General features: G+C 38.3%; 1 protein-coding gene across 13 annotated transcripts in view; it reads right to left on the reverse strand.

Moving 5' to 3' along the window:
* Positions 1 to 17,509, reverse strand: part of HPSE2 (heparanase 2 (inactive)) — an 858,875-nt gene that overhangs the window by 745,621 nt on the left and 95,745 nt on the right. The window contains exon 1 of one of the 13 annotated variants that reach the window (XM_011540031.2): positions 5,646 to 5,775. The exons of 11 other annotated variants lie outside the window; for them this stretch is intronic. The gene's annotated coding sequence lies outside the window, so the exon portion shown is untranslated. Of the gene's footprint in view, positions 1 to 5,645; positions 5,776 to 17,509 lie in introns of those variants that run through there. One more of the 13 variants, XM_017016497.2, reaches the window with a different exon arrangement.

The raw sequence follows: 17,509 nt of genomic DNA on the forward strand, positions 1-17,509 counted from the left end.
AGCAAGATGGTAGAATAAGACTTTCCAGCACTCATCACCCCTATAGACACATCCATTTGAACAACTAACCACACACAAACGAACCTTCACAATAGCTAAGAAAACTAGGTGAGAGATTATAGCACCTAGGCATAGCACAAAAAATAAGAAAAGACATACTGAAGAGAATAAGAGGGACAATTTTACCCATGTCACCCCTCCTCCGACTCTAGGCAGCACATCATGGAGAGAGAAGGAAAGAGAAGGAAGTGAGCAATCCGACTTTGCCTTGGACCCTGAAACTGGGCCCTCCTCAGTAAAGTCCAGTGCTGGACAGGCCCCCATGGCCCCAGAACGAGCCTCCAAACCTTCCCTCATGCCAAGCCAGATCCTGCAGCATCAGCTTTTGGCCTGCCTAGCAGATTCAGTCTCCAGGCCCATCCCACCACGAGGATGACCCCAGCAGTCCCAGGCTTCAGACCAGCCTCAGCACTAGCCTGGCCCAACCCCAGCAACAGGCCAGCCCCCAGAGACTCAGACTACAGGCCAGCCCCCAGGGCCAGGATAGCCCCAGTGACATGAGATCCTAGACAATCCCCAGCTCCAAGATGGCTCCCTGCAGCCCTAGTCACGAGCCAGCACCCTCAAACCCAGTCTGTACGCAGGCTCCTACAACTACAGGCTCCAAGCCCACCAAACACCTGGCCAGTCCCTGTGGTCTCAGATTCCAATCCTACTCCAGGTTTCAGACCATCCAAGCCAGGTCAGCAACCCTGGCCTCATGTACCAGGCCAACAGCTATGGACACAGGCTCCAGGCCCGCCCAGTGCCAGGCCAATCCCTGCAGCCCCATACTTCAGCAGACCCAGAATTCAGTACTGCTCAATCAGACCCAGGATCCAGGCCCATCCCAACAGACTCCTGCACTAGACTGGCCCCCACAGACACAGGCTTCAGGAGCTCCCTGTGGGCCCAGGTTCCAGACCCAAGACTGAAACCAGCCCTCGAAAACCTACCATCCAGGCCAGCACCCACACGCTGAACCAACCGCCAGGCTGGCCCTAGTGGACCCAGTCTCCAGGGAAGTTCTCATGGCCCCAGGCTCCAAGGCCAGCACCCATAGCTCCAGGACCAGGTTAGCACCCATAATCTCAGGCTCCAGGCCAGTTGCCACAAACCCAGAAGCCAGGACCGCTCCACCAGGCCCAAGGGTCCAGGCCCACTCCAGCAGACCCTGGTGACAGATATGACCCCACAGGCCAAGGTTCCAGGACCACCCCTAGAAACCCAGGCTATAGGCCAGCACTTATAGACACAGACTCCAAGCCTGTCTCAGTGGATCTTATAGACACAGACTCCAGGCCTGTCCCATTGGATCCAGGAGCCAGGTACATCCCAGCACATTGTCAGCCCCTGTACAATCCAGGTCAAGGCCCACACCAGTGCCAGGTCCCCTACATTGGACCCAGACTTCAGGCTGATGACCATTCATACAGGCCCCAGGCATGCCTTCAAAAACCTAGGCTCGAGGCCCAATCCCACAAACCCAAACAACAGACCCACCCCAGTAGATCCAGGCTCCAGGTCCAACCCCATGTAACCAGGTCCCAGGCCCACACACCTGCTGACTCAGGAACTAGGCCAGCCTGCCTGATGACTCCAGCAGCAGTCCATCCCATGGACCATGCCAGATAACCTTCCCTGAATCTCTGGACTGTCTCACTGCTTAAGGGCTTTCCTAGACAAAACCAGTCTGCAAAAATTCAAATAAGTTCCTACTTCACAAAATGCACAGACATCAATGTAAGGTAACAGGAAACATGAAAAAAACCTAGGAAATATTAACACCACTGAAAGAACACAATAATCTCCCAATAGCTGACTCCAAAGAAATGGAGATGTATAAACCGCCTGATAAATAATTTAAAGTAATTATTTTGAGGAAGCTCAACAAACCTCAAGAAAATACAGTAGACCTGTGACCAGCACCATGTAAATAAACTCCATGGGTTCAACTATATGCAGATTTTTTGAATAAATATATGGAAACATTTTTTGGAGATTTGGAAAAATTTGAAAAAAAGTTGCAGATAAACTGCATAGCACAGAAATATTTAAAAAAAGAAAATGTTAAGTATGGCATGAATTCACAAAATATATGTAGATAGTAGTCTATGTTATTTACTGCAATAAAATATATGCAAATCTTTATGAGTTAATATTTTTCAACACTTTGCAGCCATAACAAAGAATGAAATGTCCTTCACAACAACATGTATAGAGCTGAGGCCATTATCCTAAGTGAACTAACTCAGAAAACCAAATGCTGCATGTTCTCACTTATAAGTGGAAGCTAAACAATGGGTACACATGGTCATAAAGATGTAAATAATAGACACCAGCAACTCCAAAAGCAGGGAAGGTAGGAGGGAAGCAAGGGCTGAAAAATTACTTATTGGTTACAATGTTCACTATTTGGGTACTGGGTATTCTAGAAGCCCAGTCCCTACCAGTATGTAACATGCCCATGTAACAAAGAAGCACGTGTAGCTCCCGAATCTAAAATAAAATTTTAAAACTAAAAAAATAGACCAGATCTGGTCTGAGTAATGTTTAAGAGAAAAAAAATAGGCCAGGTGTAGTGGCTCACACCTATAATCCCAGCACTTTGGGAGGCTGAGGCGAGTGGATCATGAGGTCAGGAGTTCAAGCCTGACCAAGATGGTGAAAGCCCCTCTCTACCAAAACTATAAAAATTAGCCAGGCATGGTGGCAGGTGCCTGTAATCCCAGCCACTCGGGAGGCTGAGGCATGAGAATCGCTTGAACCCGGGCGGCAGAGGTTGCAGTGAGTCAAGATCACACCACTGCACTCCTGCCTGGGCAACAGAGTGAGACTCTGTCTCAAAAAAAAAGCTCATTTTCTTGGATTTCATGTGAAATTTCACACACATAAAAATATACATATATATCAAAACCTACACAAACACAAACTGGACACGCCAATTCACAGTCAAAAGAAATGTAAAAAGATATAAAATGCAGTATTAAACCATAACTGCGTAAAATTAACTGTTGTACATACCATACTACTATATTAATTCTGTAGCCACCTGCTATTGCTAAGTAGTAAGTTCAAGTCTTGGGAGCACCAACCTAAAATGCCATGTGATGCTAACCATCTCTGCATGAGCAATTTGTCTCTCCAATAAACTACATATGGCAGTAAAAAGTGATCTCTTATGGTTCTCACATATTTTCCACCATGTTTAGCACAATGCTGCAAACCTTGACTAACATCATGGGACTCATATGAAGTGTCACTGGTGATGCTGGAAGTGCTCCCAAGAAGCCAAGAAAAGTAATGACATTATAAGAAAAAGTTCAATTGCTTGATACATACTGTAGGTTGAGGTCTGCAACTGCAGATGTCCACCATTTCAAGATAGATAAATCCAGCATAAAGATCATTATGAAAACAGAATAGGAAATCTGTGAAACTGTCAGTGCAGCTACAACAGCAGGTGCAAAAACCTTACACATTTGCAAAAAACAAAATATGTGTTAATCTACTGTTCCATAAGGCTTCTGGTCAAAAGAAGGCTATTAGTACTTATGTTTTTCAGAAATAAAGTTATGCATATGCTGGGCACAGTGTCTTATGTCTGTAATCCCAGCAATTTGAGAGGCCAAGGCAGGTGGATCACTTGAACTGAGGAATTCAAGCCTAGCCTGGGCAACATGGTGAAACCCAATGTCTACAAAAAATTAGCCGGGGGTGGTGGCATGCGCTATGGTCTCAGCTACCTGGGAGGCTGAGGTAGCAGGATCGCTTGAGCCCAGGAGGTCAAGGCTGCAGTGGTTGACAGAGCAAGACCCTGTCTCAAAAAAAAAAAAAAAAAGTTATACAGATTTGTGAATGCATGGCAAATTGGCACTCCTAACCCCCATGTTGTTCCAGGGTCAATGGTAAAAAGAAACAAATGAAATCTGGAAACCAATAAATGACCAAAATTATAAGTATAATGAGAAATTGAAATTATCTTTTAAAATTAAACATAAATTCTGGAGCTTAAAAAATACAATGAATCAACTGAAAAATGCAATAGAGAGCCTCAACAGCAGAATTGATCAAGCAGAAGATAGAATCAATGAAATCAAAGACTGGTTATTTTGAAATATATAACCAGAGGAGAAAAGTGTAAAGGAATGAAGAAAGTTTACAAGATTTATGAGACAGCATCAAAAGGACAAATTTTTTAGGTATAAGAGTTCAAAAAGAATAAGAGGAAGACTAGGAAAGAAAGCTTATTTTAAAAAATAATAGCAGAATATTTTCCAAATCTAGAGAAAGATATAAATATCCAGGCACAGGAAAGTCAAAGATCTTTAATCAATTGCAATCCAAATAAGACTACAAGGCATTTTATCATCAAACTGTTAAAAATCAAAGATTGAGAGATTTCCAAAACCAGCAAAAGAAAAGTAGCAAATGACATATAAGGGAGTTATAATAAGGCTAGCAGAAGACTTCTCAGCAGAAACTTTATAGGCCAGGAGACAGAAGGATGACATATTCTAAGGGCTAAAAGAAAAAAATACCCAATCATAGATACCGTACCCAGCAAAGCTGCCTTTCCAAAATAAAAGATAGACAGACTTTCCCAGACAAATAAAGGCTAAGGAACTCATCATCACCAGACGTGTCTTTTAAGAAATGCTAAAGGGAGTTCTGAAAGAAAAAGATGCTAACTAGCAACACCAAAACCCACTAAGATATAAAAATCACTGATAAAAGGGAGTCGAATTCAGAAAAATACTGTAATGATAGTATGTGAATAATTTATATCTTTAGTATAATGCTTACAAGACAAAATTACTAAAAGTACTAAAAATAATAATGGCTATAATAAAGGAACCTTAACAATAAAAGTTTTTAAAGAATATGCAATATACAAAGATATAAATTGTGACATCATAAACATAACATGTGGAGGGAGTAGAGTGAAGGTGTTGAGTTGTTTTATGTGATCGAAGTTACTACAGTTTTAAAAAGCCTAAAATAACTATGTTTTTATATAAGCTTCACTCTAAATACAAAGTAAAAACCTATAGTAGGTTTAATAGCCACCCCCCACCTTATTCACAAGGGATACAGTTCAAGATCCCCAGTAGATGCCTGAAACCACACATAGTACCAAACCATATAATATATATAATGTTTTCTCTTATACATACATACCTATGATAAAGTTTAATTTATAAATTAGGCACAGTAAGAGATTAACAATAACTAATAATAAAATGGAACAATTATAACAATATACTATAATTTATTATAGTATAATTATATTATAATATAAGAAGTTATACTATAATAAAATAGTATTATAACAAGTTATACCATAATAAAATTCAAACATGTAAATGTTTTCTTTCTTCCTCTTTCTCTCTCAAAATATCTTATTGTAATGTACCATAGTAACTGAAAGTTCAGAAAGCAAAACGATGGACAAAAAGAAACTATTGTACACAAAAGATCAAAAACGAATCAAAGCAAAATACTATTAAAAAAATCACCTAATCAGAAATGAAGACAAGACAGGAAGAAAGAAACAAACAAAACTACCAGAAAACATTAACAAAATCACAATAGTAAGTCCTTACCTATCAATAGTTACCTTGAATGTAAATGAATTACATTGTCCATTCAAAAGGCATTAGAGTGGCTAGGTACAGTGGCTTATGTCTGTAATTCCAGCACTTTGGGAGGCCAAAGCAGGCATATTTCTTGAGCCCAGGAATTCAAGACCAGCCTGGGCAACATGGCAAAACCCCATCTCTGCAAAAAATACAGAAAATTAGCCAGGCATGATGGTGCATGCCTATAGTCCCAACTATGTGAGAGGAATGAGGTGGGAGGATCACCAACCCAGCAGGTCGAGGCTGCAGTCAGCCATGATTACACCACTGCACTCCCACCTGGGTGACAGAGTGAGATCCAGTCTCAAAAAATAAAAATAAAAAAAAAAAGACATAGAGTGACTGAATGGATTTAAAAAAATACTCAACTAAATGCTGCCTACAAGAGACTTACTTCTCCTTTAAGGACACAGGCTGAAAATGAGGGGATGAGGAAACCTACTCCATGCAAAAGGAAACCAAAAGAGAAGAGGGGTAGCTATAACTTAGATCAAATGTACTTTAAGTCAAAAGCTGTTAAACAGACAAAAAAGGTCATAAAACATGATAAAGGGATTAATTAATGAACATATAATAGTTAAAAATATCTGTGCAACAAACATTGCAGCACCTAAATATATAAAGCAAAAATTAATAGATCTCAAGGGAGTGATAGACAAATACAATAATAGCAGGGTACTTCAATAACCTACCTTCAGCGATTATCCAGAGAGAAAATTAATAAGGAAAAACTGGACATGAACAATACTACAAACCAATTGGACATAACAGACATATATAAAACATTCCATCCAACAGCAGCAAAACATACATTCTTCTTGAGCACATACAGAAAATTCTCCAGGATTGGTCATATATTAGGCCACAAACAAATCTTAACAAATTAAGGAAGACTGAAATCATATCAAATATATTTTCCAACCACAATAGTATAAAACTAGAAACCAGTAACAGGAAGAAATTCAGAAATTTCACAAATACATGGTAATTTAACAACATGCTGCTAAATAACCAATTGATCAATGGAGAAATTAAAAGGCAAATTTTAAAATATTGTAAGACAAATAAAAATGGAACCACAATATACCAAAACTTATGGGAAGCAGCAAAATAAGATGCAAGTTTATAGCAATAAATGCTTACAGGGGAAAAAAAAGATTTTAAATAACCTAACATTATGCCTGAAGGAACTAGAAAAAAAGAACAAACTAGGCCCAAAGTTAGTAGAAGGAGAGAAATAATAAAGATCAGAGCAGAAATAATAAAATAGTGACTAGAAAAACAATAGAAAATATTAATACAACTAAGAGTTGTTTGTTTGTTTGTTTTGAGATGGAGTCTCGCTCTGTCACCCAGGCTGGAGTGCAGTGGCATGATCTTGGCTCACTGCAACCTCCGCCTCCCGGGTTCAAGCGATTCTTCTGCCTCAGCCTCCCAAGTAGCTGGGACTACAGGTGCATGCCACCACGCCTGGCTAATTTTTGTATTTTTAGTGGAGACAGGGTTTCACCATATTGATCAGACTGGTCTCCAACTCCTGACCTCGTGATCTGCCCACCTCAGCCTCCCAAAGTGCTGGGATTACAGGCGTAAGCCACTGCGCCCAGCCTTAGAGCTGTTTTTTTGAAAAGATAAAATCAACAAATCTTTAGCTAGATTAAGAAAAAAGAGAAAAAACTAAAATAAATAAAATTATAAATGAAACAGGAGGCATTACAACTTGTACCGCAGAAACACAAAGATCCTAAGAAAACTACCAAGAGCAGTTATATGCAAGAAAATCGAATAACCTGGAAGAAGTGGATAAATTCCTAGACACACACAACCTACCAAGACTGAATCGTGAAGAAATAAAAAATCTGAACAGACCAATAATGACTAAGGAGACTGAATCAGAAATAAAAGATCTCTCCTCAAAGAAAAGGCCAGGATCCGACAGCTTCCCTGCTAAATTCTACCAAACATTTAAAGAACTAATACCAATCCTTCTCAAATGCTTCCAAAAAATTGAAGAAGAGGGAATACTTCCAAACTCATTTTATGAGACCAGAATTACCTTGATACAAAAGCCAGACGATGATACTACAAGAAAAGATAATTATGGACCAATATCTCTGATGAATATAGTTGAAAAATTCCTCAACAAAATGCTAACAAACTGAATTCAACAGCACATTAAGAGAATCATTCACCATGAACAAGTAGAATTTATCTCAGGGATACATGGATGATTCAACATACACAAATCAATAAATGTGTTACACCATATTAATAGAATGAAGGACAAAAACCTTATGATCATCTCAACAGATGTAGAAAAAGCATCTGACAAAATTTTATGCCCTTTTATGATACAAACTCTCCACAAATTAAGTATAGAAGGAATGTACCACCACACAATAAAGGCCATGTATGACAAACTCACAGCTAACGTTATACTCAACAGTGAAAAGTCGAAAGCTCTTCTGCTAAGATGAGGAATAAGATAAAGATGCCCTCTCTCACCACTTCTATTCAATATGAACTGGAAGTCCTAGACAGATCAATTAGGCATAAAGAAGAAATAAAGGCTCCAAGTTGGAAAGGAAGAAGTTAGACTATCCCTCTTTCCAGACATAATCTTATATCTAGAAAACCCTAAGATTCAACCAAAAAACTGTCAGAACTATATACAAATTCAGTAAAGTTGCAGGGTACAAAATCAACATACAAAACTCACAAGCATTTTTGTACACTAACAATGAACTATCCAAAAAAAAGAAATGAAGACAACAATTCTATTTATAATAGCTTTTACAAAAAAAAAATACTTAGAAATATTTAACCAAACAGGTAAAAGACTCGTACACATAAGAGCTATCCCATGTTCATGGATTCAAAGAATAAATATCATTGAAATATCCATACTATCCAAAGAGATTCAATGCTGTCCCTAACAAAATCCCAATGGTATTTTTCATAGATTTAGAAAAAATCCTAAAATTCATATGGAAGCCCAGAAGACCCCAAACAGCCAAAACAATCTTGAGCAAAAAGAACTAAGCTGGAGGCCTCACACTACCTGACTTCAAAATAGACAACAAAGCTATCGTAATAAAAAGAAAAAAAAGTATGGTACTGGCATTAAAAAATGGCACATATACCAATGGAACAGAACCGAGACGCCAGAAATGGAGCCACACATTACACTCAACTGATTTTTGACAAAATTGCCAAGAACAGGCAATAGGGAAAAGACAGCCTCTTCAATAAATGGTGTTGAGAAACTGGATATCCACATGCAGAAGAATGCAATTAGACCTTTATCTCACATCTTATACAAACATCAACTCAAAATGGATTAAAGGGTTAAATTTAAGACCTGAAACTATAAAACTATTAGAAGAACACATACAGGAAAAGCTCCATTACATTGGCCTGGGCAATAATTTTTTGGATATGAACAGGCAACAAAATAAAAATTTGACAAATGGGATTACATCAAACTAAAAAGCTTGTGCACAGCCAAGGAAACAATCAACACAGGGAAGAGACAACCTAAAAAATGAGAAAATATTTGCAAACCACACATCTGATAAGCAGTTAATATTCAAAATATATAAAGAACACAACTCAACAGCAAGAAAACAAATATTTTTAAATGGGCAAAGTCATTTCACAAAAGAAGATGGACAAATGGCCAAAAAGTATATGGAAAAATGTTCAACGTCACTGATTATCAGGGAAATGCAAATTAAATCCATAGTGACATCATCTCACATCTGTTAGAATAGCTATTATCAAAAAGACAAAAGATAATAAGTGTTGGTGAGGGTGTAGAGAAAAGGAAACCCTTGCATACTTGGTGGGAATGTAAATCAGTAGAGCCATTATGGAAAACAGTACGGAAGTTCCTCAAGAAACTAAAAATCCAGCAATCCCACTACTAGATATATATACATAGGAAATGAAATCACTATGTCAAACAGATAGCTGCACTTCCATGTTCACTGCAACATTATTCACAATAGTCAAGATAAAGAACCCACTTAAGTGTCCATCAACAGATAAATAAAGAAAATGTGGTATATATACATATACAACAGAATATTATTCAGCCTTGAAAAAGAAGGAAATCCTGTCATTTGCAATAACATGGATGAACCTAGGCAACATTAGGGTAAGTGAAATAAACCAGGCACAAAAAGAATACTACCACACAATCTCATTTATATTTGTAAACCCACAGAAGCAGAGAGTAAAATGGTGGTTATTGTGGGGCAGAGGGTTGGTTTGGGAGATATTGCTCAAAGGATATAAAATTTCAGTTATAAAAGAATACCTTCAAGAGATCTACTGTACAACATAATGACTACGGTTAGTAACAATATTCTTTAAAATCGCTAAGAGAATAGATTAAGTATTCTCACCACAGAAAAATTAAAAAGTATGTGAGGTAATATATATGTTAATTAGCTCCACTGAGCCATTCCACAAGGTATACATATTTCAAAACATCATATTGTAAATAATATAGAATGTTTTTGCCAGTTAAATAAATAAAGTGCCTTGCAGAGGGTAGGTGCTCAAGAAATGTTTATTCCCTTCCTTTCAAAGAAATTAGGGCCATTGACTTCAATAAGGAGGTTACCATTTTAGCATAAGGCCTGGAATAGGACAACAACAGACCAAAGGTAGAGTGAGAAATACCAAAAGCAGTCAAACAGGTAGGAAAGAGAATTGGCACTGTATCAAAAAAGCTTCATTATACTCGAACTAAAAGAAACATTCTCTTACAGAAAAAACTGAGTCTCAAAATAAGAATGAAATTTTTTTTCTACCTTAAGAAAAAATAAGACTTCTAAGGTAAGTCCAAAATGCAGAGAAGAGAAAAAATACTCTTGGAATAAAATATTCTGGGTCATTATACTTGAACAAGAAGAAAAAAAAATTCCCTAAAGAGTTCAACATTGATGATTTGCTTCATAAACAATCTCTGATAAAGAACCATACAATTATTATAGAGACCACCTCTGGCCATAGGTTCCATCCCTCTGCTGTCCAAGATCATAATGTCCATGATCAAAGGAAAGCATCATCATATTTCATTGAGCATTTGGCAAAAAAAACAAAAAACACCATTTTCTTTGAGACACCACACCCACACACAACTTCAGTTTGAGGCATATATCTTATACAATGTCACTGTCAATTGCCAGAGCCATTAAGAGGCATAGAAGGCTTATGTTCTCCCTTGAGTATTTGTGCTCTGGGTTCACGTTTTTAGAAAAAAAAAAAAATTCAAATGAGGCATTAAGAATTATGCACCAAGTCAAACTGCCCACCAATGGGCAGAGGTGGGGGAGCATGGATGTGAAATCCTGGCTCTGTTCCTTATAATCTATGCGGCCTTATGCAAGTCTGAGCCTCAATTTCCTCTTCTACAAAATGGGAATAATAACAGAATCTACCTCTCAGAGACATTGTGAAAATTAAATGAGATAATTACCAAATTAAAAAACATTTGTTCTTGAAACGACATGCTCAAGGAAGTAAAAAGAATCCACAGAATGAGGGAAAAATTTTGTAAATCATATGTTTGATAAAGGACTTATATCTAGAATATATGAAAAACTCTTACAACTCAATAATAAAAAGACAAATAAATGAATTTAAAAAGGGATAAAGAATCTGAAGAGACATTTCTCAAAAGAAGATCTACAAATGGTCAAAAAGCACAGGAAAAGATGCTCAACATTATTAGCCATCGGGGAATAAAAATCAAAACCATGATGAGATACCATTTCACACCTACTAGGATGTCAAGAATCAAAATGAGAGCCATTAACAAGTGTTGGCATGGATGTGGAAAAACTGGCACCCTCATACCCTGCTGGTTCAAATGTGAAATGGTATAGCCATTGGGGAAAACAATTTGTCATTTTCTCAAAGAGGATAGAATTACCACATGACCCAGCATATATTCCTACTCCTTGGTATATACTCAAGAGAAGGGAAAACATATGTCCATACAAAAACTTGTATACAAATTTTCATAGCAGCATATTCATAACAGCCAAAAAGTCAATTAAACTAATAAATGGTTAAATGAAATGTGGTATATTCATACAGTGGAATATAATTTAGTCATAAAAGGAAATGAAATACTAATATGTGCTATAACAAGTATTAACTTTGAAAACTTTGTTAACTTAAAGAAGACAGTCACACAAATGGGATCTAATTAAGCTAAAGAGCATCTACACATCAAAAGAAACTATCATCAGGGTGAACAGGCAACCTACCGTATGGGGGAAAAATTTTGCAATCTGTCCATCTGGCAAAGGTCTAATATCCAGAATCTACAAGCAACTTAAACAAATTTACAAGAAAAAAAAAACCATCAAAAAGTGGGTGAAGGATATGAACAGACACTTCTCAAAAGAAGACATTTAAGTGGCCAAAAAACATATGATAAAAAGTTCAACATCACTGATCATTAGAGAAATGCAAATCAAAACCACAATGAGATACCATCTCACATCAGTCAGAATGGCGATTATTAAAAAGTCAAGAAACTACACATGCTGGTGAGGCTGTGGAGAAATAGTAACATTTTTACACTGTTGGTGGGAATGTAAATTAGTTTAACCATTGGGGAAGACAGTGCACCAATTCCTCAAGGATTTAGTACCAGAAGTACCATTTGACTCAGCAATCCCATTACTGGGTATATACCCAGAGGAATATAACTCACCCGGCCCAACCTAAACTATAAAAACACATGCACCCATATGTTTACTGCAACACTATTTACAATAGAAAAGACATGGAACCAACCCAAATGCCCACCAATGACGGACATTTCTTTATTTTCACCAATGAAGAAAATGTGGTACATATACACCAAGGAATACTATGCAGTCATAAAAAGGAATGAAATCATGCTTTGCAAGGACATGGATGAAGCTGTAAGCCATCATCTTCAGCAAACTAACACAGGATCAGAAAACCAAACACTGCATGTTCTCACTCATAAGTGGGAGCTGAACAACGAGAACACATGGACACAGGGAGGGAAACATCACCACCAGGGCCTGTCGGCGGGGTAGGGGGGCGAAAGGAGGGAGAGCATCAGGACAAATATCTAATGCATGCAGGGCTTAAAACCTAGATGACAGGTTGATGTAGCAAACCACCATGGCACAAGTATACCTAGGTAACAAATCTGTACTTTCTGCACATGTATCCCTGGAATTTAAAGTAAAATAAAATTTTAAAAAGCGTCACAAACGACCACATGTTGTATGATTCCCATCATATGAAATATCCAAAATAAGCAAACCAATAGAGACAGAAGGTAGATTAGTGGTTGCCTAAGGCTGGGATGGAAAAGTTATGAGGAAACGGCCACGGAGTGAGAGTTTTCCTTTTGGGCTAATGAAAATGTTTTAAAATTGACTGTGGCAATGGCTGCACAGCTCTAACTATAATAGAAGTCACTGAATGGTAAATTTTAAATGGTATGTGCATTGTATAGGATGTGAATTCTATCTCAATAAAGCTGTTTTTAAAGGAAGATTAAATAAGACAAATACTTGTAAAGTGTTTAGCACAGTGCCTAGCACCTTGGAACGGTTCAATAAATGTAGTCTGATAATGTTGCTGATATTGTTGCTACTTCCAGAAGAAAATACGTTTAATCTAAAAAATGTTTGTCATGCATGTAATTGATGAGAATAACCTGGTCCTTTAATCTCAAAATTATGAAACCATTCTGAAATGCAGAGGAAGCTTTTAAAAATCTCGGCAATGGTCTAATAACCTAAACTTTTTTTTTTTTTTTTTTTTTTTCTGAGACAGAGTTTCACTGGTTGCCCAGGCTGGAGTGCAGTGGCACGATCTTGGCTCACTGCAACTTCTACCTCTGGAGTTCAAGCGATTCTCCTGCCTCAGCCTCCTGAGTAGCTTGGATTACAAGCGCCTGCCACCATGCCCTGCTAATTTTTGTATTTTTGGTAGAGACAGGGTTTCTCCATATTGGCCAGGCTTGTCTCGAACTCTTGACCTCAGGTGATCCGCCCGCCTCGGCCTCCCAAAGTGCTGGGATTACAGGCATGAGCCACTGCACCGGCCTAACCTAGACTCTTATAAACATTTACAACAATCAGAGATAATAACAACAGTAAATTTGTCTGGTGACACCTGTGGAATCCTCCTCAACTATTTCAGGTAAGGTTTACTGCTTCTTCCTCTGTAATTTGCCTGTTCAGATTTCTACTATATCATTATCTACTCTATACATCATTTTTTTCCACTAAAGTGTAAGTTCTATCAGGACAAGACAATGTCTCATTCATTTTTGTATCCTATAAGGACAGCATATTGCAATGCTGGTACATAGTAGGTGCTTAATTGAATGAACATGTAACTGTGAAAATTCCTGGCTATCTTATCATTTCTCATCTATCTGAACTCCTGTTTCAGCCCCCTTTAAGAACAGGAAGAAAGGGTTTGATAACTGACGAGTTTAATTACAATCACATCTTTTCCTAACAGATTAAAACACCTCAACAAGTAAAGTTTTACTAGTTTCACCACAGTCTTGAAGTTCCAAGCATTCTCAAGAATAGAAAAATAACCCATAACAGTTTATTTAAACCCTAGGAAAGCCTATGATAGCCCTAGGAAAACACTAAGAACTTTATATAATCAGCCTGTGATCCCTGCCATCATCACTAAAGCAAAATGCATGAGCAGCCCCTCCCAGCTCCCCATGTTGTTTCTGCCTTTCGGTGAACATTTTCTCCTCTTGCTACCATAAGTAGTAACATTAGTATCTAGTAGCAAGCTTTGCTGTTGCAAACTTCCAGGTGATGCCCTCCTCCTGGTTCCCGGGCCAGGAGGAGGGCATCACCTGGAAGTTTGTTAGAAATTCGGCATCTTATTTCTTACTAGATCCACTGGCGATTCAAATGCACATTAAAACTTTAGGCATTTTTCCGTAAGAGCTGGCTGTGCCTGGCTTTAGATTCAAGCTGGCTATACTTGGGCTCTAGATTTGAAGGCCACTACAGACCATCTGAAGTGCATTTGGCAAATCAACTCACTCAGAGATTCTTATGCTGTGTGCATTTTAGAACCACCTGGGGAGATTTTTTTTAAATCAAAATGCCTATGCTCCACCCTAGAGATTGAATTGGCCTAGGACCCAGTTTTTTTGTTGTTGTTGTTGTTGTGCTGCTGCTTGTTTGTTTTTGAGACAAATCTCTGTCATCCAGGCTGGAGTGCAGTGGGATGATTATGTCTCACTGCCTCACACTTGGGCTAAAGCAATCCTCCCGCCTCAGCCTCCTGAGTAGCTAAGACTACAGGTCTGTGCCACCAAGCCCAGCTAACTTTTTATTTTGTAGAGACGGGGTCCCCCTATGTTGCCTAGGCTGATCTCAAACACCTGGCCTCAAACAATCCTCTTGGCTTAGCCTCACAACGTTTTGGGACTTCAGATGTGAGCCACTGTGCCTGCCCCCAATATTTTTTAAAGCTCCCCTAGCTAATACTAATGGACAGCTAGAGTTGGGAACCACTGATTAACTTCTATAAGCTTCTATCAAATGGGACAATTAATAGTAGCTGCCTCGTTGGGGTGTGAAGACCAAACCTGATCACCTTTGAAAAGCTCTTGGTCCAGTACTTGTAACATTTAAGTGATCAACAAATGGTAGTTATTATTATAATACCTGGAAACCCGGAAATGAATGCAACAACAGGGATAAAAAGAATAGGCTCAGATTGTACTAGTCTGGTCCCATCCTACAGGTAAGTAACTGCCACAGTCAAAGAACACATTATCTCCAAGGACAAGTTTGCCCCTTACCTGACACTTTGAGTTTCCTTGAAGCTTTCTGAAGGAAACTCAGAATGTCAGGTAAGGGGCAAGGTGTCAGAAAGGCCAGCACCTTCATTTGGAATTTATTGATGGAAGGTGGGGGAGCATAGTTTCAACAAGGCTGTAACACAGGAAATCCCCCTTACCACACCTTTCTGATTTACACTGATTCTTGATACACACCACATGTGTCCTCGACTCTCTTTTCCCCTCCCCCTGAGTTTTCAATCGTTCTGTTCCACATTTAGGTGATGAAAACTTAAAACCTGTGGTTATAACTTCTATGAGAAATTTCATTTTGAAAGCTTGCTAAATTTCAACTTTATTGCCATGAGAAAAACAAAAGAAACAAAAGACCTCAGTCATTCAGTGACACAAAAACCCCAAATGAAGACATTTCATAAATGTAAGTTTTCTGCTGCAAGTTGTTGAAAATCCTGACTTTTGGACAGGGGTGCCATTCATTTGCTTCTACAAATGTTCTATGAAACAATAGCACTTATTTTTCTAATAGTTTTAGGTTACATGTTTAGTTTCACCTATGGATTTTAACTTGGCTAAGCCTAGCCTATAGATCCTTTTGAATCTACATCTCACAGGATTTATCCTAAGTCTACTCTTCCAAGGAGATTCGTAATGGCCAGGCAAATAAGTCCATGATCTGCTTTTCCAACAATTACAAGGAAATAAACTCCCAGATGAGAATAACATACCTATCAGGCCACTGAGAGATAACCAAAGATTTACCTCAATGGTGATTACATTCATTTTTTAAAGTGTGCATGGCTTAGTGACTAAGTCACCAGAAAGCTCAAGTTATATTTCCACTCCTCTGCTTATTCACTATGGGCCTCCTCTGCAGTAAAGGAAGCAGACTCCTCCTCCCTCTCACTGGGTGCATTGTGATAGCTAATGAATGTCTGCATTTCAATGGCTTTTAGAATCTTTTTGGAAGTTTCAGAAGTGATTTTGGCATCCCACAGAGTGCTCTCAAATAGTGCTCCTATTCTCTGGACTGGTTTCTAACCACACCTTGGGTTTGGGGCCTACTGCAAAGGGGGTCTGGGATTCAAGTCCTAAGTCTCCAAGAATGTCATTCTACAGCCTCTTCAGGAGTCTGTCAATGAATGACAGTTTAAAAACATGGAAGAATCCAGGAGTAAACTCACCCTTGCACACCTACAAGCACACATGGCCTCTCCCAGAAACCACAGACCCACTCTAGTCTCCCAGAGAACCTGTTTCAGATTGGCCCAACCACCCCCAAAACACAAGTACCTACACCAGTTCACTTCAGTGGAGTGGAGGGATTACTTTTAGCTGTTATAGTTCATTTAAGAATGTCATGCTTAAATGTATAAGTAATGAGTTCTAATCCCAGCTCTTCTACGTAAAAGCCCTGTTATTTTGAGCAACTTCCTTGAGTCTGTTTTCTCAGTTATAAAATGGAGATGCCAACTTAAAATAAGATTACCGTACTGTGAAAATCAGAGGAGTTTTTACAATCTTTAAATATTACAAATGTAAAGTGTAATTATTTTTCTCCTGCAGACAACTGGCTAGGGAGCTATTCAAAAATGGTGACCTTCTGCCTTCTTTAGTCTGTTTCTAACTAAAAATTATCCCAGGTATTTAAAAATCTTTATTTGTTGGCTGATTAGTATTCAAATTCACAGAGCAGCATTAATGAGATGAGTAATATTCAAAGAGAATCAAAAATTCCTTAGCCAGGATTTCTTACAAATGACACAGTGATATACTATTTGAGCCAAAAATCAAAACAATGTTAGTGTCACTTTCTATCTGCATCCAAAACTTTACAAAGCACTTGTTTTATTAAAGGATATCATATTTTGATGCATAAGGTTAGTTTTGCTATGGCCATTTTTGTGACACTTACCCAAAGAATGTACTATAGTTATTAAAAGGATTAAGATGGATAATGGTGTTTAAAGAGATG

The sequence above is a fragment of the Homo sapiens genome, chromosome 10 (genome assembly GCF_000001405.40).
Source record: "Homo sapiens chromosome 10, GRCh38.p14 Primary Assembly".
In the NCBI taxonomy this organism is placed as follows: Eukaryota; Metazoa; Chordata; class Mammalia; order Primates; family Hominidae; genus Homo; species Homo sapiens.